General features: G+C 48.1%; 1 protein-coding gene across 2 annotated transcripts in view, besides 1 other annotated feature; it reads left to right on the forward strand.

Moving 5' to 3' along the window:
* CLCN4 (chloride voltage-gated channel 4) overlaps positions 1,614-25,418 on the forward strand; it is an 80,686-nt gene continuing 56,881 nt past the window's right edge. For both annotated transcript variants that reach the window (NM_001830.4, NM_001256944.2), the window contains exons 1-2: positions 1,614-1,739; positions 2,928-3,190. The gene's annotated coding sequence lies outside the window, so the exon portion shown is untranslated. The remainder of the gene's footprint in view (positions 1,740-2,927; positions 3,191-25,418) is intronic.
* Positions 18,484-19,460: an enhancer, noted in NCBI's record as "H3K27ac-H3K4me1 hESC enhancer chrX:10141885-10142861 (GRCh37/hg19 assembly coordinates)". NCBI's record gives its function as "activates a minimal SCP1, AML or CMV promoter by ChIP-STARR-seq in naive H9 embryonic stem cells {active_cell/tissue: H9 hESC(naive)}" and the evidence as "EXISTENCE:reporter gene assay evidence [ECO:0000049][PMID:30033119]".

Below are 25,418 nucleotides of genomic sequence, written 5' to 3' on the forward strand. Positions count from 1 at the left end.
GCACTCCAGCCTGGGAGACAGGGTGAGACCCTGTCTCGAATGAACAAAAAACTCAAAGGTTATTATTCCGTAACTATTGAAAGAATCTTTTCATGAAGGATGGTAATAACCAGCTTTCTATCTCCACACAGAGCAAAGTAAAAAGAAGTAGGTTTAAATGGAAGAGAAATTAAAACTGGACATACAGATGGTTAAATATTAACAACGGCCCCTGAATGGCACTTTCTTTCCTAAAGATCTTCATGAGCAGAATAATCTAGGATGGCTAGGGATTGTTCCCTCGGGACTTTGTGGTTAAGAATTCAGGATCTTCAAGTAATGAAATCTGCATTAAAAAATTAGCCAAAACTGTTTGTTTATTCCATAATCATGTCTATATGGTGCTTTTAAGAAAACAATTTTTTTGTTGCTATAAAAGCAATACATATTCACTGTGGAAAAATTAGACGATATCTCTAAGCTTAAAAGAAGAAAAATTTAAAACACCCTTAATCCCACTAACCAGTGAGATACCATGTTTGATACTTTAGTGAATTCATTTCCTAATAGTTTTCTGTGTTCGCAAAGGTATATGTGTAGATATAAATATATTACACCTACATAGAAACGACGGATCACTCAGCACATAATGCTTTGAAGCTTCCATTTTTTTTCCCATTTAATCCGCTGCACATGTCTTTTTCCATCCGTGTGTACCACCGTATTAGTTTTAATTCTTCCACTGCACAGATGGCTTATAATTTAAAACATCCCCTGTTTTTGGAGATTTAACTTGTTTCCAGTGCTTTGAGATCATAAGTAATATTGCAGCAAACTTTCCCTAGTCAGGGGTTTGCACACCGTTCTTCCCCCCACCCCCACTCCCCACACCCCAGGACAAATTCTTGGACATCAAGTTGCTGGAGCACATGATACCAACAGCTGTAGGGCCCGGAGTAATTGGCGAAACTGTGTATCTGTAAGGCATTTGGTAGGAAAAATGCTAAACAGACCACCAGAAAGATTGCTCAACTTACATTCCCATGGGTGGTATTGGTTTTTGCTTTTTTTGGTTTTGTTTTTTAATCTTGGCTAAAATGACAATTTGAAAGGCGAGGGTGGAGGGTGTTCAGACAGCTCTCTCATTCTGTTGAGAATTGCTTGGCCCAGTTCTGGGCCTTGTCTGAATTGCCGGTTTGCTGCAATGTTTTTTACAATTGAGCAATCACCTAGAAAAAAGAGAAGGTGAAACTAACCTACTGCAAAAAAACTGCTCCAGGATGAAGAAGGTTGCCTGTATTTCGTCATTTCAGCCAAGCCGGAATACGGAGCAAGGCTGTCTGCACCGTGCTACCATCCTCTTCAGGCTGCAGGGCATTTTGTATACCCACCACCTCCCATTGATGCTGGAAAATCCGGTCACAGAATTCCGTGCAGCCCAGCCCCTGAGGGTGGGGCGTCCTGTCTCCGGGACGCCGGGTTTTCTCTGGACACGAATGCTCCGGGGGTAGGAGGCGAATGACACTGGCACGGCGGGGCTCCGGAGCCAAGAGGTGACCAGGCTGGCTGGGCAGGGCTGAGTGGCTGGGCCGAGCACGTGATGCTCCCAGCCGGCCTCCGGGGCCCTCCGGGCTGAAATCGACATTTGCCTCTGGCAGGAAAATGAGCTTGTCAGTTTCTGCCTCCATTAGACCCTCAACCCAAAGGAGCAGGAGATTTCGGTAGCGTTTTAACTTTATCTCAGAATCTGAAAGCGGAAGGTAAGCTGCTTATCACTCAGAAAAACAAATTTGAGAGGAGTGACCTAGTAAAGTACACTGCGACTTTGTTGATTTTTAAAATCTGGTGTTGAAAATAATTGATCGCTGTGAGAGTCAAGGGCTGTATTTATCCCCAAATTAGAGATTAACCTTCTGAACAGAAATTTGGTTAATTTGGAGGGAATCACGGTATAAGGGCCAGGGTTAAATATAGAAGGACACGAAAGCTGATGGAATAAACTGCAAGTAAACTTAACTCTAGCCTGCTTGTAAAACAATCTATTTCATGTCTCCTTCAGGGCTGTGAGCAAAGGGAATGTTAAAATTGTGATTTTTAACTCAAGTGAAAGTAAATGAATCTATTTGCAATTGGAATACAAATAAAAGCAGTCTTTGCTTTTGTCCTTTTACATTTCAAAAACGCTTGTGTATTTTGGCAAAAGAAAAGTTTATATGTGCACTGCTTAAGTTTGAAATACGCTATTTCAAATTTACAAAATTATCACAGTTGTAATTTTCTAAAGTCTTTCTAGGCAAGGCTGTTTCAGTTGTGAATGAGAAATGTTGACATTGTACATATTTTCTGTGATAGTAAAATGACTCACTTCTTCAGAATGTGATAAAGATTAGAAAATGTGAAATAATGAGTTATTGTGAATTAAGTCATGTCTCAGAGATTAAATGCCTTGCCAGAAGATGTAAGAAAACAGAGACACAAATACAACCATGCTCACGTAGCAGTGCTTTATTTTAAATCATCACATATTTAAGTAAGTAGTAGAAATACGTGGTGTCACCATTTTTTCCTTTGGCAAATACAAATTAATATTGGAATGCAGCTATTCAGAGTAATTAAAGCATTATTCATCCGTGCAATTAGTATAATGTTCCATAATGAATTGCTTTGAACTAAAGTGTTTGGTATAATACTCGATATACGGCTTGAAACATAGAAACTCTAGGCAAAGTATGTCCATGCTATATTTTGTGTCATTTTGATTTGCACAAAATGTTTATTTCTCCACTGCATTTGATAAATACTAGTTTTAAAATAAAACATGAAATTGTATTTCCTTTCACTGTAATCCCTTTATTGCTAATTCTTTTGAAATCCTATTACTCGCTTGGAGCCTGTAATAATTTGGATTTCTCCTCCTGTGTGTTGTTTTTCATAATTCTTCGCGAAAGGCCAGGCAAGCTGCACACATCAAGCGAAACGCCTGAGGGGCGGCCAGCGCGAGGGTTTCTGGCCATCGACCCTCACCTCCCGGGACTTCCAGGGTCTTCCCCCCACCCCGCGCACACCTCCCTGCCTCGCCCCGAGGGCGTCACGTGGCAGCGTGGGGCCCGCCTCCTGGTGATGTCACGGCGCTCGCAGCCGTCGCGCTGAAGAAAGGATGCTCGAGGATGCTGTCCAGGTGGGCGGCCGCGGGCGCGATGCGGCACTGCAGGTAAGGGGCGCGCGGCGCCTGGATGCCCTCCCCGGCGCCCCCGGCAGCGCGGACGCTGCAGGTGGAGCCCGGCCCGCGGGCCTGCAGCCCGGCTGCGCCCCCAGAAACCCAAAGTGGGGCCTCTGGCTGCTGCGGCGCCTGCTGCCCACAGCTGCCTGCTGCAGCTGCATGCACCCGGCCGGGGATGGCCCGTGGCAGGCCCACGCGTGACTTGGGTCTTGGCGTGCCCGCCCCGAGAAAGCGGGCAGGGGCCAGACAGAAAGACGGGGGAGGGAAAAAACCGCTCCGGCGGGGGAACAAAATCTGAAGTGACCACACTGCATGCATTCTAAGTAGACAGAGGGGCTTTTAAGAGGTAACTATCAAGTGTTTTCCTAGTGTCATTCTGCTTCTTAAATAACGACATGTTTACTAATTACAGGCCTTTGTCCTCAGTAATTAGCCTCATTTCTTTCAAAGCAAAAGCGGGCTGGGGAGTGGAAACTTCTTGGTTAGCAATTTAAGAGCCAGATGTGCAATCTAAATTGCTTTGCATTATTTTGCAAGGTTCCAGCATTTACAGGGCATACGTCAGAAACGTATTTTTTTTTTCCTTCCAGGTGTTTTAAGTAGATTAAAAAAGAACGGTATCCAATACAATAAAAATAAATTGCAGCTTCCAAAGATAACATGTGAGCGTAAGAGACAGCTACATCTCTAAGAACCAAATGATCTTTAGCAGAGAGTGGGGGTGGAGATAACACCAAAACCTAAGAATTCCCAGAGTTCTTGTTAATTCTCTCGCTGATAATTCGCTTGCTGAATGGAGAGGCTTGATGACAGCGCCAGATGGAGGGGTCAGGTGACTTCAGTTCTAGCATGACAGTGGGTGGGGGATTTTAATGGACTGTTTCTAGAGCGTTTACATGCCTTTCTCGGGGTCAGGAAGAAACTACAGCCAGGACGTGTGGGGGCACCCTTAGGGGGAGAATGTGGCATTATTTTCCCCTCTAAAACCTGACCCTTCTGGAAGCTTTGTTGTCACTAAACTGTATTGGAACTCACATCATGAATAATTTGACCAACCAGCAACGTTGGGGGGCCTGTAAAGCAATGCTATTTCCATCAATAATTGAAGGAGGCATTTCTTTCAGAATTTGGGACACCCAGATGTGTTGCTGCAGTAATTTAGTAACTTGTTTATTGCAATTTTCTTCCTTTGGTTCAGTTTGGTTACACAAATTAAGATCCCCGGGTCCCCGCCCTCCCTTCTCCTCCAGCCCAACCCTAGATAGAGCAAAGCAGATGATAGAGGTGGATCTAATACAGACCTAGATTCCACTTTTGGCTTTGTGACTGTGCAGCCTTGGATATGTCATTTAGTGTCTTTGGGCCTCGACTATCTCGTCCTCAAAGTAACAAAGGGATTTAGGTCAGGGTGTCTCAACCTTGGCACTACTGGCATTTGGGGCCAGATAACTCCTTGTGGTGAGGCTGTCCTGTGCATTGTAGGATGTTTAGCAGAATCTCCGACCTCCACCTACTAGATGCTAGTAGCACTTCCCCCTCCCAGCCCCCAGTTGTGACAATCAAAAATGTTGCCAGACATTGCCAAATGTCCCCTGAGGGCTCCCTTGCCCCCTGTTGAGAACCACTGATTGAGATGATCTCGAAATATTCTTCTTCGGGCTCCAAGAATTCATTTTCTTATGATTGGTTTGATGCCAAGCCCTTGATCAGAAATCTGATTCCCTTTCTTAATATCACATATATTGGAAAACACAATGTGAAGGCGTTTTTATGCTGTGAATTTCCAGAAATAGCTTCTGTGAAAAGGGGAGGAGCTGTTTGTATGCCATTTGTAGCTGGGAGGCGAGCTTGGCAGAAAGGAGAGTGTTAGGGAAAGAGGAAAAAAACAGAGCACTAGATGAACGTGTGTGGAAACCTGCCGGGGCTTCGTGCTCAGCAGACCTGGAGCACGTCCCTGGACGTAGTCTAACCCTGGGTTAGACCTAACAGCTGAGAGTCCATTTCCTTGTCTGCAAAAATGAGAATAACAGTGTCCACTCGGAGGTGTTGTGAGGATGAAACGACACGACATCTGGTGCTGGTGGGGGACGTGGTGAGGACGAGAGGGTGGTAATGTCTATGCAGCTAGGAGGAGGCAAACACAAATGGCCCGCACCACCAGCGACACGGACACTCGCTTGGGCAGACATGGTCGCATGCTTTAAGCTTCAGTCCAGGACTAAAGATCTGGCTTTGACACCTAGGAGGGTGACCGTGGCTGCATCACTTCACCCTGCAGAGCTGCTGTCGGATCTGTAAAGTGGGGCCAACCGTGCTTGCTGACTCTGCTTCCTTGGCTGTTGGGGAGGGACGGATGGAAGTGAGAGGGTCTGCAGGCTGGGAAACTCCCAAGAGACAGGAAGCGGGGGTGGCAGCAGCATAGCAAGGGGGGGACATGTTTACTATGTGTGTGTATGTGGTGGTGGTGGGGTGCTTAGAATGGCCAGAAAACATTTCCTTGTGCCCCAGGCTTTGGACTTTGATGTGTCCCTCCCCTGGGTTCCCTTTCCGTTGCCATCAGCTTGCTCTCTCTCTCTCTCTCTCTCTCTCTCTCTCTCTCTCTGTCTGTCTCATCTTTCCTGGCACCATGAAAATGGTCTCCTGGGGGGAGATAGGAAAGCCCTGGTGGGGGAGGTTGGCCTTCGGTGAGGAAGACCCACTGTGCAGAGGGCTAGGGTGAGAGCAGCTGGCTCCATCCACTCCCCACGCCACTGTCCTCACAGGCTTCAGTCCACGGACATCCCAGGGCAGGCCTGTCACGCTCCTGTGTGCCTCCAGTGGGCTTGGTGCTCTGTATGAGCCATCTGGCCTTGTCTCTTCAACAAGGTAATATCATGAAAGAAATTTTTAAAAAGGGAGGTGGGGTATTCTCCATCAAACGAGACTTAAGAGACGGAATAGCCAAATATCACTTGTGGCCCTCGATTGGATTCGGCCCAAACAAACGTGTAACAGGCATTTTGGGGATGCCTGGAGATGCTTTGATGTGACTGGCTATTAGGTGACACTAGGAGACTGCTGCTGCTTTGATTAGATGTGACAGTCTGTGATGTGTTCGGCAGCCCCTCGGACAGATGCAGTGATCCCCACCCCTGGCAGCTGCAACTTGGCATCACCCTCTCCCCTGGGGTTTGGTCTGGACCAAGTAATGAACTTCCAATGAATACGTCTAGCAAGGGGTGGGGGAGAGGCACTTCCACCATGAGGGTGTAAAGGGGCTTCTGCCTGGGGTGTGTTTTCTCTCTTGGGTTGCTTACACTGAAGCTGCCATGTCGTGATCAGCCCTACAAAAGGGTCCATCTGCCGTGGTGAGGACCCGAGGTCCATTCCAACAGCCTGAGAAGAACTGAGACCCGCTGACGGTGTGAGGGTGTGAGCGGGCTCGGAGGCAGACCCTTCAGGCCCAGTTGAGTCTTTTTTTTTTTTTTTTTTTTTTGAGACAGAGTCTCGGTCTGTCACCCAGGCTGCAGTGCAGTGGTAGCGATCTCAGCTCACTGCAACCTCCGCCTCCTGGGTTCAAGCGATTGTCATGCTTCAGCCTCCCTAGTAGCTAGGAATACAGGGACACGCCACCACGGCTGGCTAATTTTTGTATTTTTAGTAGAGATGGGATTTTGCCATGTTGGACAGGCTGGTCTCGAACTCCTGACCTCAGGTGATCCGCCCACCTTGGCCTCCCAAAGTGCTGGGATTACAGGCATGAGCCACCACGCCTGGCCGCAGTTGAGTCTTGAGATGCTTGCAGCCCTGTGAGACACCTTGAGCTGAGGCACCAGCTAAGCCACTCCAGGGTTCCTGACACAGAAACAGTGACATGATAGATGTTTGTGTCCTGCTGCTATGCTTTGGGGTAAGTTGTTAGGCAGCAATAGATAGCTAATACATGTGTTTATGTAGAAAAGTCTTCTTGTTTAGAGATGTATACTAAAGTGTTTAGAGATGAAGTGTCATGGTAGCAGTCATTTACTTTTTTTCTTTTTTTGATGTTTTCTTGAGATCTCTTTAATGTATGACTTAATAGGAGACAGATGAATTCTCATACTTGGTTCTACATTCAATCTGTTTCAATATCGCATGTCATGTAGCCTCTGGAAAATTCCATTGTATGCTCATGAGAGAATGAACTTAGAAAAAGGCAAATAACAATGTCAGAATATTGTGAAATGTTTTTGACATCATGGACTCCCTTAAAGGGACTTGGGGAGCCCAAGGAGTCCCCAGATGACACTTTGAAGATCAGGCTTCAAGATCAATAATTTACTTTTAAATGGTTCAGTTAAATGAAGAGAGAGAAAGAGATAAAGCAGATAGAGCCAAATGTGAACAACTGTTCAGTCTGATTGGTGTTATTCACTGGATTCTTCTGGATGATGTTCTGTGTAATTGAAAATGTTCATAATAAAAAATTAAGAAAAAAAGAAAAGAAATGTAAACCCTTAGACACACTGGGGATTCTGACTGAATAGGTCTGGGGGTGAAGCCCAGGGCTTAACCTGTGCTCCAGGTGCCCCCATCACATGGGCCAGAGGCCCCAGCCACTTTGCCCCAGAGGTCCTCGCCTTACCTGCCTCCTCTCCACCTGTCAGCCTTGCAGTAGCAGACCAAAGGGGTTTAGTGTGATGACGCATCTCTTCTACCAACCTGGGGGAAGAGGTGTGTGGGGACAGTCCCCCCTCCTATCCCTTCCCCCATACACACTTTCCCTTGGTAACAAGACCTTTGTTTAACCACATTTTCAGTGGGTGGCTTTTTTATGTGCAGGAATTTTTTTTTTTTTGTGATAAGTATTTTTTTAAATGACTTTCATTTCTTTTCTTTTTTTTTTTGAGATGGAATCTCTCTTTGTTGCCCAGGCCGGAGTGCAGTGGCTTGATCTCGGCTCACTGCAACCTTCATCTCCCAGGTTCAAGTGATTCTCCTGCCTCAGCCTCCTTGTAGCTGGGATTACAGGCACGCACCACCACGCCTGGCTAATTTTTGTATTTTTAGTAGAGACGAGTTTCACCATGTTATCCAGGCTGGTCTCGAACTCCTGACCTCAGGGGATGTGCCCGCCTCGGCCTCCCAAAGTGCTGGGATTATAGGCTTGAGCCACTGCTCCCGGCCCCTTAATTACTTCTTCATTCAGCAAATATTCCTTGGGTCTGTGCGTCTAGGCCAGGGTTTCTCAACCTTGACACTGTGGACGTTAGGGTCCAGATGATTCATTTTTATGGGGGGCTGTTCTGGGCAATGTAGGGTATTGAGCCGCATCCCTGGCCACCATCCACTAGATGCCAGTGGCACCCCATCTCCCAGTTGTAATAACAAAAAATGTCTCTAGACATGGCCAAATGTCCCCTGGGGGTCAGTATTGCCCCCAGTTGGTTGAGTCCTACAAGTCTAGGCAGTGGGATACATGTTAGGACCAAATGGACAAGGTTCCTGCCCTCACGGGACTGATTTGAGCTGAGGGAAGAGGAAGTAGCTGTTGGATAGGCTGTGTGTTGAGTGAAAGGATGGACAGCAAAGGATGCACAGCACTGGACTCCAAACGCTGGTCAGGGAGGGCAAGAAGGCCTCTCTGAGGGGTCGCACTTGAGCAGAGATCCGAATGGAGAGAGAGCCACTTGAGCACGGTGGGCTGAGTGCTCAGGGCTGAGGGAACAGCCAGTGCAAAGGCCCTGAGGCAGGGCAGGACAGGAAGCGTTTGCGGAAAGCAGGGAGATCGGCGTGTGCAAAGTAGAGCTACCCAGAGAGTAGGGGTGGGGACAGGTGCTCAGAGGGGCGCAGGGGGCAGGCCATCCTGGAACTGGCAGTTGTGGTGTCAACCCTGGATTGTCCTCAGTGTGATGGAAAGCCACTGGATGCTCCTGTGTCGGGGAGTGACATGTTGAGACTGGGTTAAAAGGACTGGCTGCTGTCAGGAGCAGAGTCAGAGGTGGGTGAGAAAGAAAGCAGGGCAGCCAGCAAGGAGGCTAGGAGGCGAGGCTGGAGGCCAGATGGGGAGTGGCCAGGGTGACCAGGTGAGTTGGACTGAGGAGCTAACCTCTTTAGCAGCAATGTTGTCCTAGGTGCCAGAGTGGGCCCTTGGTGATCAAAGAAGCCTGGCGTGGGAGGGTAGTGTGAACTACAGGGCAGGACATGGAGGCTGCAGACGTGTCCTCATGCATCCGGCTCAGTCGCAGCATCACCTTTGATGGGCGGTGGCCTCCCAGGGACAGCAGAGGAAATGGCCATGCACATTCCCACATGACACCTGAAAAGCTCTCTTTCCCGCTTCTTGTCGTGGCTGAAGTCTCCCAAGCTGTCAGGCTGCCGGTGGCTCCGGTGATTCTGGCTACACAGCTTGCTTGCTGTCCTCGGGCCCAGCACATTTGTTCCTGCCACTGAGTCTCTGAATTGGCTGTTCTCTGTGGCTGGAGGGTCAACCCCCACACTTGTTCCCTTGTTGCCTTCTCCAAGTGGCCCTGGTCGCCCTGCACCGCCTGTCACGTGCGCTTCTGCGGGATGCAGTGGCCTGCAATCGGGGGTTCATGGAAGCCCCTGCCTGCTGGCTTGCCATCTTCACACTGTTCTTGACGTGGTCCTGCCCTGCCCCAGGGCCTTTGCACTGGCTATTCCCTCAGCCCTGAGCACTCAGCCCCCTCGTATTCAACAGAGAGCCTGCTGTTGGCTGGGTTGAAAGTAGATGTGAGACCGGAGCCTTCCTCACAGAGGGGACTTGAACCCCTCTTGAAGCTGCAGAAGAGGAGAGTCCTGGAAGGCTGGGGTCAGGCCCTTGACCTGCCCTGGGGACGACACATGGGAACAGCAGGGTCATGAAGGAGAGGCTGTGGGTGGGCGCTCCCCCTGAGGGTGGTGTTCCCCTCTTTCCATCTGAGGCAGTTGGGGCGCCCAGGATGGGTTTGGGGTTTGCTGATGTGAGAGCTACCCCAACGCTGTGTTTCCTTATGGGGGAGGCTGCTCCTGGTCCTGGGTGCTGGGCCTGCGGCTCCTCTCTGTGGCTGCCGCTCCCCTGAGCCTTGCCCGCAGTTTCGCGATGCTTCCCGATGGGCTGACTGTGTCCTCCTATCTCTTGGCTCTTCACTTCCCTTCTGGGTTGATTTGGCTAAATATGAAAGTTCTTTTTCGCCCTCCACTCTAACCCCTGGAGGTGCTGGTTGGGTGAAAAGGCCTCTGTGGTTAGCAGATAGCCGAGAGATTGTTCCTCTTAGCTTAGTCACGCATCACACCAGCTCGCCTTTTACCCCAAACATGGAATTGGCTCAAATGTCAGCCCGTGTGTTGGTCAGAGTGGCCTGCCTCTCTTCACCGTGGCGTCCCGGGCCACCAGGAACAGCACATGAACGCGGTTTTGGGTGCCTTCCAGCATTTAGGCTTTACACACTTGCCAGTCACGAGTGGCTCCTGAAATTTTCTTTTTATCCATGAGGGGGTGTGAACCTTGGATAAGCAGAAAATAGGTTGTTGTGGAGAAAACCTGTCAGAAAATGGTGAAGGGAAGGCCAGGCTGTGGAGGTGCCAGAAGAGCGAGGGATTTCCCACCTGCACTGTCTTCAGCAGCTGTGATGGCTTGAACTGTGTCCCCAACAAATTCATAGATTCAAGTCCTAACCTTCAGTACTTCAAGACGTGACCTTATTTGGAGATAGGGCCTTGACAGAGGTCATCATGGTGAAACGAAGGCATCAGCAGCGCGCGTCCCTTCATCTCAGACTTCTGGCCTCCGGAACTGGGAGAAAACCCTTTTCTGTTATCTGAGCCACCCAGTCCGTGGTGCTTGGTTACGGCAGCCCTAGCAAGCACGTGCAGCAGCATTTTTTTGTGGATGCATGAGAGCGCGACCCAGGGGCCTTTAATTAAGCTATTCTCACACGGTGTAGGAGAAACGTGGCCCCCAGTGCCCTCTCCATGGAGGCACATGGCTCTGGGTCCTGAGGTGGCAGAGGCCTGCCTGCTGTTGTGGAGAAAGGCCCCTGGGACCTGGGCTGGATCCAGCTGCCCCCTCACTGTGTGTGAGACTTAACCTCTGTGCCGCAGTTTGCTTATCTGTAACTTATCTGTAACGTGGGCCTGAGGGAGGCGGTACTTCATACACGGGGGAAGTGCTTAGAATGAAGCCAGGTACACGGAGCCCTGTACAAAGGCGTTGTGACTATTATTATGGGAAGAAGTCTCTGGGGAAATTCCAAACCCTTGGCTCTTGGCACCAGCAACACAAACACCTCACAGCCCAGCCCTCCTGTCCCTGGGATGGGGGTGTGAGAACACTGAGGCCATTGTGTCACCCGAGGCCACATGTGGTTGGCCTCATCCTATTTCCAACACGTGGGCTGGGTTTCAACGTGGAACGAATGGCTGCATGGCCCTGGGTCCATAGGAAGCCTGCCATGGTCACACAACAGCTGCCTAGTCCTATGGAAGCCAGACTGTGATTGAAGGAACACAGGGAGTGCTGGGGGCAGGGCCGGGGCCGGGGAGGAAGTGGGAGGAGGAAAAAGGAAGTGTCTCCGCTGGTTCGAGGCAGAATTTTGAAACAGGCACAGTTTCTTTCTGAACATCCTTTTGCTCTGAGCTTCCCCCTGTTTGAAACTCCTTGGTCGTGTGGCCCTCCACCCCTCACTGGGGGCCACCACCTGGCTCCCGTCACTGTCAGTGCCTTCCTGTCTTCTCCCCTCTGGTGTTTGGAGGGTTAGCTAGAAGGGGTGGAATGAGTCCTGGCCACCTCATCATCCTAAAGGTGCCCGCATTTTAAAAGCAAGACTCAAAATGATTACAAATGAAAATGAAATTCCTGGGGTTTCAGGCAAGGTGGAATAAGGCAGTGAAAAGCTTTTGTATTGGAGCCAGCCTCCAAGATGGGCCTCGACCATCCTACCTCCAGGTGTTCATGCTCATGTGTGGTCCCCTCCCATATGGAACCATTCAGGGCTGACCTGTGTCACCAATAGGATACCGTGGAAGCGACAGTGTGTGACTTCCAAAGCTAGGTCATTAGAGACCCTCCTGGTTCTCTTGGACCACCCCCTCTAGAGAAAGCCAACTGCCATGTCGTGGGGACATTCAGGGTATCCTGTGGGGATGCCAGCGAGCAAGTTGGTTGCTATGTGAGGGAGCCCCCGTCCAACTTTCAGATGACAGCAGCCCTGGCTGACATCCTGACCACAACCTCCTGAGAGACGCTGAGCCAGAAAGACCCAGCCACACTGCTCCCCACTTCCTGACACATAGAAACCGTGTGAATGGTCAGTGTAAATGGTAATTAGTGATGCAGCTTCAGATAACTGAAATGACTAGTAATGGTCCAAAGCTTTCTTGGAGGGGAGGCCCAGTGCTGGTCTCTCCTTGGGTCAGCTCCCCAGGCTCTGGCCATAGCTGCCTTCGTTTTGCCCCTTCTGAAGCTCCACTTTTCTCTGATCGTTCCATATTTGTTCATGGTATTTTCTCTCTCTTTCCTTCCTAGGTTGGAGAGGAGAGGAGCTTCATGCAAAGTTTAGGTCTATTGATGATAAATTAGGGCATATTGAGGATGAGTTTGGATATATAGATTTTTAGTAAATGGGCAACGGTCTGTATTTCATGAAAATGTATATCCTGTGTATCTCTTTATAGCCTGGAGGCTTCAGTAAAATATTCCCCAAATGCCAGTGGGGTTTGGCTGTCTGGGCGTTACTTTGGGCATTCGGCCTTTGCAGATGCGGGATGTCATTTTTGATGCGAGCAGCCCCCTTTTCCTCCAGCACCAGGGAAACACGCCACAGCCTGTAATGCAATGTGGAGCCCGTGTCCTCTGCCCGCTGCACAGGGGATTTGCCAACTCCAGCGCCTTTGCTTTGTCAGGGCTTTCAGACTTCTGACCTCAATTATTTCAGTGGGAGGTCATTTTTGCAAGAGAGGATGCAATGGGTGTTTGAAAAGAGAAAGTATTTCACGGGCACTTCAAAGAAGTGTTGCAAGCATGCCAATGAAAAACCTCACTTTTGTAAAGTGAAGCAGTGAGATTTAACTCCAGCTGATGGCTTGTTTGGGTTGCCTTTGGTCAACTTTTAATTGAAATCCATGTGCAGAAAAGTGCACAAAAGGTAAGCGTGCAGCTTGATGAATTGTCACAAGGTGAACACACCTGGGTAACAGTGCCCAGATCCAGAAATGGAACATGACCAGTTCCCAGAAGCCACCCTCATGTCCCCTTCCAAGGGTAACTGCTATCCTGAATAACGCCACTGGTTCCTTCTGCTTGTTTGGAACTTTATAGGGATGGAATCTCGGATCCCTTTGTGTCTGCTTTTCTTTGTGTCTTTCTTTTACTTGACATTAGGCTTGTGAGCTTCATTCTTATTATGGGATGGAGTGGTACCTCTTTCCTCCTCATAGCCCTGTATAGCCTAATAGCTTTCTTTGTATGTAAAGTGTCTCTTTTCTGTCACTGCTTTTAAGAGATCTTCTTTTTCACTTGTTTAACAGTTCGATTATGCTATGCCTTGGTGTAGTTTTCTTCATTTTTTTGTGTGTGCTTGGGGTTTGTTGAGCTTCTTCTATCTATAGGATTATATAGTCTAATAGTTTAAATCTTTGTGTAAACAAGATTTCCTATATTGAATGTTCTGGTCAGTGTATCTACATTTATTTCCGAGAAACTTCTTGAGAGAGCTTAAAGGGATTTTTAAGGCAGTTTCCCTCTCAAGCTGTCACCTCCTCCACTTGGATAAAAACAGTGAAGGATTTGTCTTGTTGGGCTGATAAGAAACCGTCAGCTTGTGGTGCTTTTAGCCTCTGTTATGGGTCCAGAGTCCACTCCCTCAGGCTCCATTGATTCTGTGTCGAATGCCTGTGGCTGGATATCAGGAGGACACCTGTTTTTGTCAGCCCAACTCTTTTCATGAGTGAAAAGTAACAAGGGAAACAAGATGAATTCAGAAAAACAAACAAACAAACAAACAAAACCAGTAAGGAAAGGCAAGGTATGCCCCTCAGACAGGCATTGCTACAAATTATTATCATGTCTTTAAAAAAATATTTTCTGTTTTTCTTTTTAAAATTTTTTAATTTTGCTACAAATTATAAAACTGGTGGGTGATGGTGGACGTTTCAAAACCACTCACGTGTGACATGGCAGTGACTTCAGGCTGGCCTACATAGCCTTTTGTTCTCTGTACATGTACAGATAAAAATCTTTCTTGATTCTTTTTTTTTCTTTTTCTTTTCTTTTCTTTTTTTTTTTTTTTGAGATAGAGTCTCGCTCTGTTGTCCAGGCTGGAGTGCAGTGGTGTTATCTTGGCTCACTGCAAGCTCCGCCTCCTGGATTCAAGCGATTCTCCTGCCTCAGCCTCCTAAGTAGCTGGGATTACAGGCATGCACCACCATGCCTGGCTAGTTTTGTATTTTTAGTAGAGATGGGGTTTCACCATGTTGGCCAGGCTGGTCTTGAACTCCTGACCTCAGGTGGTCCACCTGCCTCGGCCTCCCAAAGTGCTGGGATTACAGGCATGAGCCACCACACCCGCCCTCTTATCTTGATTCTTGAGCATGTCTGTGCAGTGATGTCCAAAGCATTCAATAGCTGACTACTTGATAGGGTTTTATATCTATTGATGGATATAGTATTAATAACACTCCCTGTAGAATAGAGGTAGTATGTGTGCCTGGCTAAGCTTTTTGTGGCTTAGTGGACACTATTTCTATATAGCAACATTCAGCAAACACTTCATTTTATGCAGGTCCGGATAGTAAATAGAGATGAGTAACATAAGCCTTTGCCCTCAAGGAGCTCACAGCCAAATATGGGAGGAAGCATGTTTGTAAATAATCACTTGAACAAAATGCAGTTTCTAAATAAGATTGATGTTAAAAATATTAATATAAACAATATTAAAATTTTAGTGATTAAAACACAATGGCAAGGATGCAGGTCATGAAATGAGTGGAAAATAGGAAGGGAACAAAAGGTTATACTAGGCCAGTGGCTCTTAATGTGCGCCCTTGGATCAGCTGCAGCAGCCTCCCTTGGAAGCTTGTTAGAAATGCAGATTCCCCGGCCCCATCCAAGCCTTGCCGGATCTGAAGCTCTGAGGGTGGGACCTGACAGTCTGGGTTTCCCCAGCCCTCCTGGTAATGCTGATGCACGTTCAAGCTGAAGAACCACTGGTTTAGACGGTGATAAGCCACCAGGGTTCTGTCGGGAAGCCTAGGACAGGCCATTTTAGTGCCCACGTTGTCCCCTAATTGCCAGAAGCCTCAGCACAGCTTGGACCCTTTTGTTAGGGGACTGATGTATGTCGGCAATCAATAAAGTATATTAGGGAGTTTTTCTGAATTTTTTTTGAGACAGCGTCTCGCTGTGTCACCCAGGCTGGAGTGCAGTGGCGCGATCTCCGCTCACTGCAACCTCCGCCTCCCGGGTTCATGAGATTCTCTTGCGTCAGCCTCCAGAGTAGCTGCTGGGATTACAGGTGCCCACCACCATGCTTGGCTAATTTTTGTATTTTTAGTAGAGACGGAGTTTTACCATGTTGGTCAGGCTGGTCTCGAGCTCCTGACCTCAGGTGATCCACCCACCTCGGCCTCTCAAAGTGCTGGGGTTACAGGTGTGAGCCACCGCGTCCGGCTCTGAATTCTTAAATGAAGGGAAAGTTTTACTTTGCCCAACTAGTACAGCTTACTACTTTATTTCTTTTATGGATTGTGTTTTTGATGTCATTTCTAATAACTGTTTGCCTAGCCCTAGGTTTTGCTCATTTGTGTAGGAGAGGTAAAGATCACTCACATGGGTTTACACAGGCAAGGGCATAACTGGCTGAAGAAATATAAAATGCCATGTGATGCTGCCTTCGTTTGGGTCCTTGCAGAAGTGGAACTTGAAATTAGGTTTCTGGTGCAAGTTGATTTGGGAGGGGAGTGGGGAAGTGAGACCAGGAAAGGAAGGCAGCCATTAGGGCCGGGCTGTTAATGTCACGCAATGGGCGACTGGAGCTTAATTCCACACTTTGGAAACTCTAGGAAATGGTGCTCGCTGTGTCATGGGCCCCCAAGATCACCTCTGGGTCTGGTGATTTCCTAGGAGGGCTCATAAAACTTGACACATGGCATATGCATGGCTATGATTTAGTAAAGCAAGAGGACACAGAGAAAAATCAACAAAGGGAAAAGGCTTATGGGGTGAAGTCTGGAGAAAAGCAGGCACGTGCTTCCAAGAGTCCTCTCCCAGTGGGGTCACACAGAACATGCCTACTCCTGCCCATGGTGAGTTGAGACAACATGTGTGAAATGTCCACCAGGGAAGGTCCTTAGAGACTCAGCGCCTGGGATTTGTATTGGGGGCTGCTCACATAGGCACCCTCTGCCTAGCACACATCAAAATTCCAGACTCCCAGAGAGAAAGCAGGCATTCAGCATAGATCACAGTATTTGGACAAAGAGTTTAGGCACAGTGAGCCACTCTTACCAGCTCTGGGAATGGTGGGAACCCTCCCAAAATACAAATTCCCAGATGCCAGCCAAGGGCCAACCTTGCAAACAGGCCTTTCTAAGGAGAGCAGTCTCAGGTCTGCTATATTACGTGTTTTCTGCACAGGTACAAAGCACATGCCTTGAAATAATCTCATTCAAGGGACAAGGGAGTAGGACATTTGAAGATGTCTGGTTTTCTCCAGACTTTGCCCCGCAAGCCTTTTCCCTCGGGAGTCAGTTCTTGAGAGTCATCGATTAATACCTATTCCCAATAATGCACTTCAGGCATGCCATGTAAGCAGAGCCACCTTCTGTGGGTCTCAAAACAATGACAGTGACCTTAGACTAAGCGATATGGTTGGAAATTAGCTAGAGCTTACTGGAAGGTTTTGAGTGATATGAGTGGGGCGCTGGCAGCATCAGATACAGTAGTTATTCTAGAAATTGGATGGGGACAACAGAGCCATGTGTATAGGGTAGTTCGCATGCCTGGGGTCGTGTGGCAGTATTGTAACTGTGAATGAAGAGACCGAGGTCAAGGCTTCGCTCTAACCTCCTTAGGTAGATGCTTCCTTCCTGTGTCTGCTCATTGGAGGAATGGGAAAGTGTGTGTGTTTGTGTGTGTGTGTGTATGTGAGAGAGAGAGAGAGGGCATGCGTGTGTGTGTGTGTGTGAGCATTGTGGGGGCAGAAAATCCTGGTACACTAGCTGTATTTTAAACTTCCACTTCTAATCTTTCAGTTCTGAGCAGCGTGAATAGGCAGATAAACAAATGTTTGCTATAGCCTCAAACATTCATGCCAGAACATTTTTTTCCCTCCTTCCACACAAGTAAATTAAGAGAACAGCGGTCTGTTGTATAATTTGAAGATGGCTATTAATTTGTGTTGGATTGCATTTCTTAAGCATGTTATGTTATTCGAGGAGCAGGAGACCCTGGAGGAGGCGCTTGTGGGGAAGCTTTGAAGCTGGAGCAGGAAGGAGTGAAATGACACAGTCTGATGACGATCACGGTAATGCAGGCCTTGCAGCCTGGCGACATTCTTCAAAGGCAACTAACTGCAAGACTGCCCTCTTCCCCTCCCCTCTCAGACATCTCCAAGACCCTGCCAACCGCCAGATGAAACCAATCTTCCTAGAGCCTCGTGTGGTGGTCTCAGGCATCGCTTGGGAGTGCCTTAGAAATTCGGCGTCTCAAATGCAGTCTTGGGCCACACCCCAGCTCTCCAGGATCAGAATCTGCCGTTTAATAAGACCCTAAGGGATGCATGGCTCATCCAAGTCGGAGTCAGATCTCACCCGAGGCCGCACATTGGCAGCACCTGGGGAGCTTTTAAAAATGCTGATGCCTGGGCGCTGCCTCAGGGACCCCGGTTTAATGACTCTGGGCGGGGCCTGCTCCTTGGGCTTTCTGAATGCTCCCACGTGGTTCGGCTGCGCACCCCGGGCTGGGAACCGTGGGGTTCCCTGGCAGTACCCTTCTGGAATTCTCCTTCCCCAGCCTCCCAGTCACGTGACTGCTTAATCTCCTCCCTCTGTGGCTCTTTCTCTGTCCTCTGCTCCTGGCTCCCCGATTTCTGAAGGCAGCCCGGTCTCTTTTCTTTCTTTGTTACCTCCTGGCCATTCTCCAAAGTGCCTCTGCGGGGGCGGGAGCTTGTGAGAAATTCGAGCCTCAGCCATGCCCCAGACCTGCTGAATCAGCACCTGCAGTTTAACCAGAAGCCCAGGGGATGCGCATGTGCATTGTCATATGAGAAGCGCTGGTCTAGGTGACGTAAGCTGGGAAAGAAACCCAGGGAATCTGCTGGAATGTAGGGAGCCTGGGCTCAGGAACTGGAAGGCGTCTGTCTGGGTCTCTGGCTTGTTTGTTTTCTAGCTGTCTCAACTTGCCACTGTGGTCATTTGGGGCTAGATCACTCTTCTCTGTGCGGGTCGTCCTGTGCATTTAGGACGCTGGGCAGCATCTCTGGCTTTTACCCACATCATGCCATAGCAATCCCCCTCCCCAGAGGTGATAACCAAGAATGTCTCCAGGCATTGTCAAGCATCCCCTGGGGGCAGAATGGTCTCTAGGGGACACTTTGGTGTCTGCCTCTGGCCTCATTCCCTCCCGCCATACACCCTTGGTAGGGTTGGTGGTTCCAAGTTAGCCACTACCGTGGAAAGAGAGACTTCCTTTCTCCCCCTCGTCCATGTGTGCGGCCCTGCATGGGTCCCACGCTCATCCCCATAGCCGGTCATTGTGCCTGGTGGTCGGGGCACTGTCATTGGCCAGATTGGGTTCTGTGCCACATCTGGGGCCAGGGGCCAGCTTTGTTAGCAATTGAAGGAGACTGGGAGAGTTCTGATGGAGGCACAAATGGCTATTTTGGACCACTCTAGCAGCCCTTTACGGACCCAAGTCCTCCGCTGACCCTTCACCCAATAACAAGCTCATTTAGCAAATATCTGTTATGTGGCAACGAACAGCTGGGCCCTGTTCCAGGGCGGGCATTTTATAAACAGTCTTCAGGACCATCCTAGGAGGTGGTCTTGTTAGCCCATATTGCAGGTGAGCAGACTGCAGCTCAGCAGGGCTGGTGACACCCATGGCAACCTGCGGAGCCCAGTTGCTCCCTAATTCCCCCCACCCTGTGCCCTGCTGTCAGCCCTACCTTTCTGTCACCCCCTTGAGCTCTTCCTCCCCTCCAGGCTGCCCTACACTGCCATATAGCTGGACGAATTGTAAAAGGAACACTGTGTCATCATGCCTCTGCTCAAGTCAGGAAAGACTGTTGCTGCTGTCATCTTTTGTCCCCTCCCCAGTCCCCTCACCTCCCTGCCCCTCAGAATACTCTCCTGACTTCTATTGTGTTTACGTCTCTACTTTTCATTGTAGATTTACCAAAGAATTCTGGTTCCTGAGCTTTGTTAATTTACTTCTGCCCGTTTTTGAACATGATGTAAACGGGATCACACAGAGTGTTTGGATGCATCCGGATTCTTTTGCTCTGTATTCTGTGTTTACTCATTGCAAGCATACTTTGGGAAGTGCTTGAGTCAAAGGGTGGGTAGATGAGAAGCCACTGAAGGTGACAGAGGAATGGCCGTGGGTCAGAGAGGGAATTACCTTGGCATTACTTGGGCAGAGCTGGAGTGGTGGGCTACGCAGTTAGGAGGTTGCGGTGACCTGGGTAGGAGCTCCAGCTTAGGGTCTGAAGGCCGTGGGGAGGATGGCAGGTGAGGCGTGGTAGGTTTGGGAGGGTTGTCCTGCCTTCTCTTTCTGACGAGGTAGGAGTTACAGGTTGGAGGAGATGGAAAAAGGGGGAAGCATTCCTCATACAGGCTTGTTGGACCAGCAGGAGCTGAACCAGCAGTCGTCTTGGGTTGCAGTGAAGCCCCCTCTGAGACTAGGGGCTCCCAGCACCAAGGAACTGGCAGCCAGCAGCCAGCAGCCACTGAGGCCAGCACCTCTCGTAATCCACAAGGTTGGAAGAAAAGCAGCTCGGTAAAGGCTGCTTGTGATGAGTCACTGGGGCTCCTGGAAAATCTGTAAGAAATGAAGCTTTTGAGATGTTTATTTTTAGCTGCCGTCTGACCATGGCCTGTCTCTGAACTTGATGTTCTTGGGCCCTCTCCTCTGGCTGTGTGTTCTAGAATTTCTGTTGTGTCCTATGCTTTTCATGGTGTCATGTGAACACTACAGGTAACTGTGATGATCTTGAACACTTTGTTAGCGCTATGGTATGATCATATTTTTATTCATGAGCCGAGGCACCCGGAATCTTGAAGCATTCGGATCACTAATTACTTGGAGAAACTTTTCTGATTGTAGGATCTCACAGAAACCTCTCTCTCTCTCTCTCCCACCCTCTCTCTCTCTTTCTCTCTCTCTCTCCCTCCCTCCCTCTCTCTCTCTCTCCCCCTCCCTCCCTCTCCCTCTCTCTCTCTCTCTCTCTCTCTCTGTGTGTGTGTGTATGTGTGTAATAGGAACTCATCTTTATTTTCCCAAAGCTTTAAGGTTGAAATGTTGATGGTGACATCCTTTAGTTGCATTGTTGGGTTTCTGGAAACTCATTCCTTCCCTTAAATAATCCTAAGGGGAATGACTGTGGCCACTTGTCTTTATATTATACTTGTCCCCGTGGGTCACGATTATTTGTTTGCTGGGTTTTGTTGGGAGGTGAGGGCCGCAAATGTGCTGGTAGCTCTGGTGCCTTGGACAGTGGCCTGGCAGGTAGCAGATGCCCAATAAACACCCATGGTGTAAAGCAGGGGCCGGCAAAGCACAGCCTGCAGGCCAGATCCAGCCTGTTCCTGTTTTTGTAAATAAAGTGTTGTCAGCAGGCAGCCACATCCCTTCATTTCCATATTGTCCGTGGCTGCTCTGCTGTACAATGGCACAGTCCAGTAATCGCAATGGAGACTATATGGCATATGGCCCGCGAAGCTGAAAAGATTTCCCACCTGGACCTTTCTCAGAAACATTTGCAAACTCCTATCAGTTAAGTTACTACGAGGAAACAGGAAGGAGCAAGGGGCAGGAACAGCTTGTGGGAGAGGCTCATGAGAGCCGGAGGTGGTTTTAGTAGCAGTTTCTACCCTGCCCACGCTGGCAGGGGACCCTGCCGGGACTTGCCTCTAGGGTGGCCTTCCTTGCTTGTTGGAGACTCTTAATCTTTTAATCTGAGTTATGACTTTCCGTTCCATCTGTCCAAGTCATCTGGGGATTAGCTAATAGAGCAAGTTGGCAAATAATCTGACATGGTCTGATTTGGGAGGGGAATACTGGCATAAACATTGGCAGGTACTGTGGCACCTGGCCACTGCTGGGCAGAGGACAGAGGGAACAGGTGGAAGGGCTTCAACCACAGCGTTTTATGGACGGTGTAAATACTGATGGCAGCACAAAGTGTAATGGCTCCAGATGGGAAATCACCCAAGTGTCACCCGCAGTAGAATGGATAACTACATTGGGGCTGATTCCTCAGTCAAATACTGTGAAACAGGAGTCGGCCAAGTTCGTGATCCTGTGGGCCAACTCCAGCTCACTGCCTGCTTTCGTACAGCTTATGAGCTAAGAATGGTTTTTGCATTTTTATATGGTTGAGAAAAAACCAAAAGAATAATATTTTGCCACACATGAAGATGATATGGAATTCATATTTCAGTGTCCGCGAATAAAGTTTTATTGAAACACAGCACCAGGCATTGATGTGTCTATGGTCTCTGGCTGCTTTGCAATGACAGCGGTGGAGCTGAGTCGTCTAGACAGAGACTGCATGGCCCAGAAATCTTCAAATATTTACTCTCTGGCCCTTCACAGAAAAAGTTTGGTGGCCCCTGTTACAGTGCAAAGAGAATGAACAGATAGTTACACTGAACAACATGGGTAGATCTTGCAACATAATATAGAATGAAAGAAGCTGGAAACAAGATTTCATTTCTTTAAAGTTCAGAAGCAGGCAACAGTAATCTATAGTGTGAGGGTTGGGATAGTGGTTACCCTTTGGGGTGGGTCAGGGACTAGCGGGGGCTTGAAGTGGTGTCTAGGGGCTGGTCATGTTTCGTCCCATGATCTGAGCACTCCATACATGGGTGAGTTCCCTTTGTGAAAATGTGTGGAGCTGTTCATCTATGATTTTTGCATTTTACGAATACATGTTTACTTCAATAAAAAGCTTACTCAAGAAAAGTGATTTCAGTCTGGCAGCTCCTCAGAAGGTTAAACAGAGTTCCCATCTGACCCAGCAATCCACTCCTGGGCATATACCCAAGAGAAATGAAAACATATGTCCATGCAAAGACTTGTACACAGATGTTCCTAACAGCCTTATTCATAATAGCCCAAAAGTAGAAACAACCCAAATGGCCGTCAGCTGATGAGTGGATAAACAAAATGTGATACAGCCACACAATGGAATCTTATTCAGCAATAAATAAAAAGGGGTGAAGCACTGATACGCACCACAGCCTGGATGACCCTTGAAAGCATTATGCTAGGTGGAAGAAGCCAGATGCAAGAGGCCACATACTGCATGATTCCACTTACTGCATGATTCCACTTATACGAAATGTCCAGAATAGGCAAACGCATAGGATGGAAAGTATATTAGTGGCTGCCTAGGCTGGGAGAAGGAAGTGATTGCTAATGGGTAGGGGGTCATTTTTAGGGGGGTGAAAATGTTCTGGAATTGGATAGTGGTGATGATTGGACAGCCTTGTGAATTTCCTGTAAACCACTGAATTGTACACTTTAAAAGAGTACATCTTATGGTATGTGAATTACCTCTTTAAAAATGCTGTAAGAGATTGCTGCTACAGACCTGTGTGTATCTGTACAAGTCAGAAGGAAAAGGTCTCAAGGTGACAGCCACCTCATCCATTCTTCCTGCTACTCCTCCAAATGCAGATATCTTGAAAGTTGACAGGCAGGGGGAATGCCTGACTTCCCCCAGGTAATCCAGACTCTTCCTCTAGATCCAAGCCAGTTGAGTAGCACAGAGCAGTTTCTAGAATGTAGCTAACATGGGCATGTTAATTTTGCTACTTTTGTTTACTAAAACTGCAGTTCTCAGAAAAACAGGATAAACTAAAAGATCCTAGATAACTTGCTTCCTGGACTTTTCCTGTGATTATGCCTGACTTCGCCCCCATTTTCCTGATGTCTGTTTTCCTTTGGTCTGATTGGAGAGGAATGGGAATCTATGTAGTAGCCACTGGGGCCCATTCCCATAGCTGAGCCTGGGCTGTCGGCTCCTTGCTGGTTCCTCCAAGACTTCATTGCTTCACAGCCAATGAAATGGAGCAGTAAAAAAACAAACAAAAAACAACAAAAACAAAACAAAAAACAAAACAAAAACATTAAAAAAGACTTCACTGCTTACCTGTAGGTTGCTTTTTATATATAGTTCTCAATCTCTTCTGAATTAAACTTCTTGGTCCCCACTTCTAGATGTTAAGGGCCATAATGGTTGCAAATATTGTGATAACTTTTGAGAGGATCCCTTTTGAGGGTGCGAGATGACTACCCAGAGGATCTGAAGGTTTTCATTTTGCTGACACTGAAGAGTGTATTTCTTAGGATTTTCTGCTCTGTAATGACAGATAATCACAGCTGGCAGTGAAGATAGCGCTGAACTTTCTGTAAAGTCCCAGCCCTAAACATTATCTGTGGCAGAGACAAACAGTTTTAATTAATGACAAAAGGTTTGCTTGTCCCTGCGAGGGTGAAAGGGGCCGGTGCTGTTTCATTCCCTGTGCCATGTACTGGGCTGAAGGGGCAGGGGAGGGAGCATCCCAGGGTCCTGGCTTTTGAGAGAGGGGCAGAGAGGGTCAGCTGTGGTCACACACCCATACTTGGGAGTCGTACAAGTCTCTTGGTTAGTGGTCTTGCCACTTTGAATAGAGGTATTTCAGATTTGAAAGAAAACAGTCTAAACAGTCTCCTCAAAGTAAATGCTTTGAGGAGTTTTTAGGAAAAGCTATTTCGAATGTCAGGCATAGATTCATGTTTTAATGGCCTCACTGATTCTTGGTAAGTGGAATCCCCCAGAAGGTCCCCCAGAAGCTCAGTTGGACCACCACAATCTCCCTGAACAGAACTGGAGTCCATCAGGTCCCCTCTATCAGTTACAGAAAGCAGAGGAGTGAGCAGATCAACCTCAGAAACAAGGCGACATGCAGGGGGATAAGGAAGGGGTGTTTTCATGAAACATGATTTTCATTTTAACAAACATTTATGAAGCGCTAACCACATGCCAGGCACAAATTGCTTTACAAATGTCAGCTCATTCCGTCTTCTTCACAGCACCCTGAGGCAGGTAGTGCTGCAATTCCTACTTCATAGATGGGGGAGACTGAGGCACAGTAAGAAAGGTCCAACAACTTGCTTAAGGTCACACGGGTGGTAAGTGGCAGAGCTGAGATCTGAACTCATGCAGCGCTGTTCTGGAGTCTGTGTTTTAACCAGTATGCGTGTGATGCTGCCTCTCTTGTGATGAACATCAGAATATAGAGGGACAAAGTACAATATTGAAGATCCAAATATCTCATACTGCCAATTTGTTTTAAAATACAACTACGAAGAAAACATACCAACAGGTTATGGGAGTTATCAAGGGCATGATGATGGGTAATCCTTATTTTTTTTCTTGATAGTTTTCTGTATTTGTCAAGAAGTTTTGTAAGTTGGGTGGTTGGTTGTGTGTTTTAAAAAAATAGCCACAATAATATCTCTGACTTCGGAATGCTCATCTAGAACTTTGCCATTTCCTCATCAAGAGGTAGAGTCTACTTTCTCTCTCCTTGAACCTGGGTGGGATTTTGTGACTGCCTCAATGAACAGCAAGTGGCAAAAGGGACGGTATCTGACTTCTGAGGCTGAGCCACGCAAGGTGATACAGCTTCTGCCGGGTCTCTCTCTCTTAACACACTTGCTTTGGGGCCCAGAGCCTCTGGGTAGGATATACTGCCACCTGGCCGGGCGCAGTGGCTCACGCCTGTAATCCCAGCACTTTGGGATGCCGAGGTGGGCGGATCACCTGAGGTCGGGAGTTTGAAACCAGCCTGACCAACATGGAGAAACACCATCTCTACTAAAAATACAAAATTAGCTGGGCGTGGTGGTGCATGCCTGTAATCCCAGCTACTTGGGAGGCTGAGGCAGGAGAATAGCTTGAACCCAGGAGGCGGAGGTTGCGGTGAGCTGATATTGCGCCATTGCACTCCAGCCTGGGCAACAAGAGTGAAACTCCATCTCAAAAAAAAAAAA

This window comes from Homo sapiens, chromosome X (genome assembly GCF_000001405.40).
Source record: "Homo sapiens chromosome X, GRCh38.p14 Primary Assembly".
NCBI lineage: Eukaryota > Metazoa > Chordata > Mammalia > Primates > Hominidae > Homo > Homo sapiens.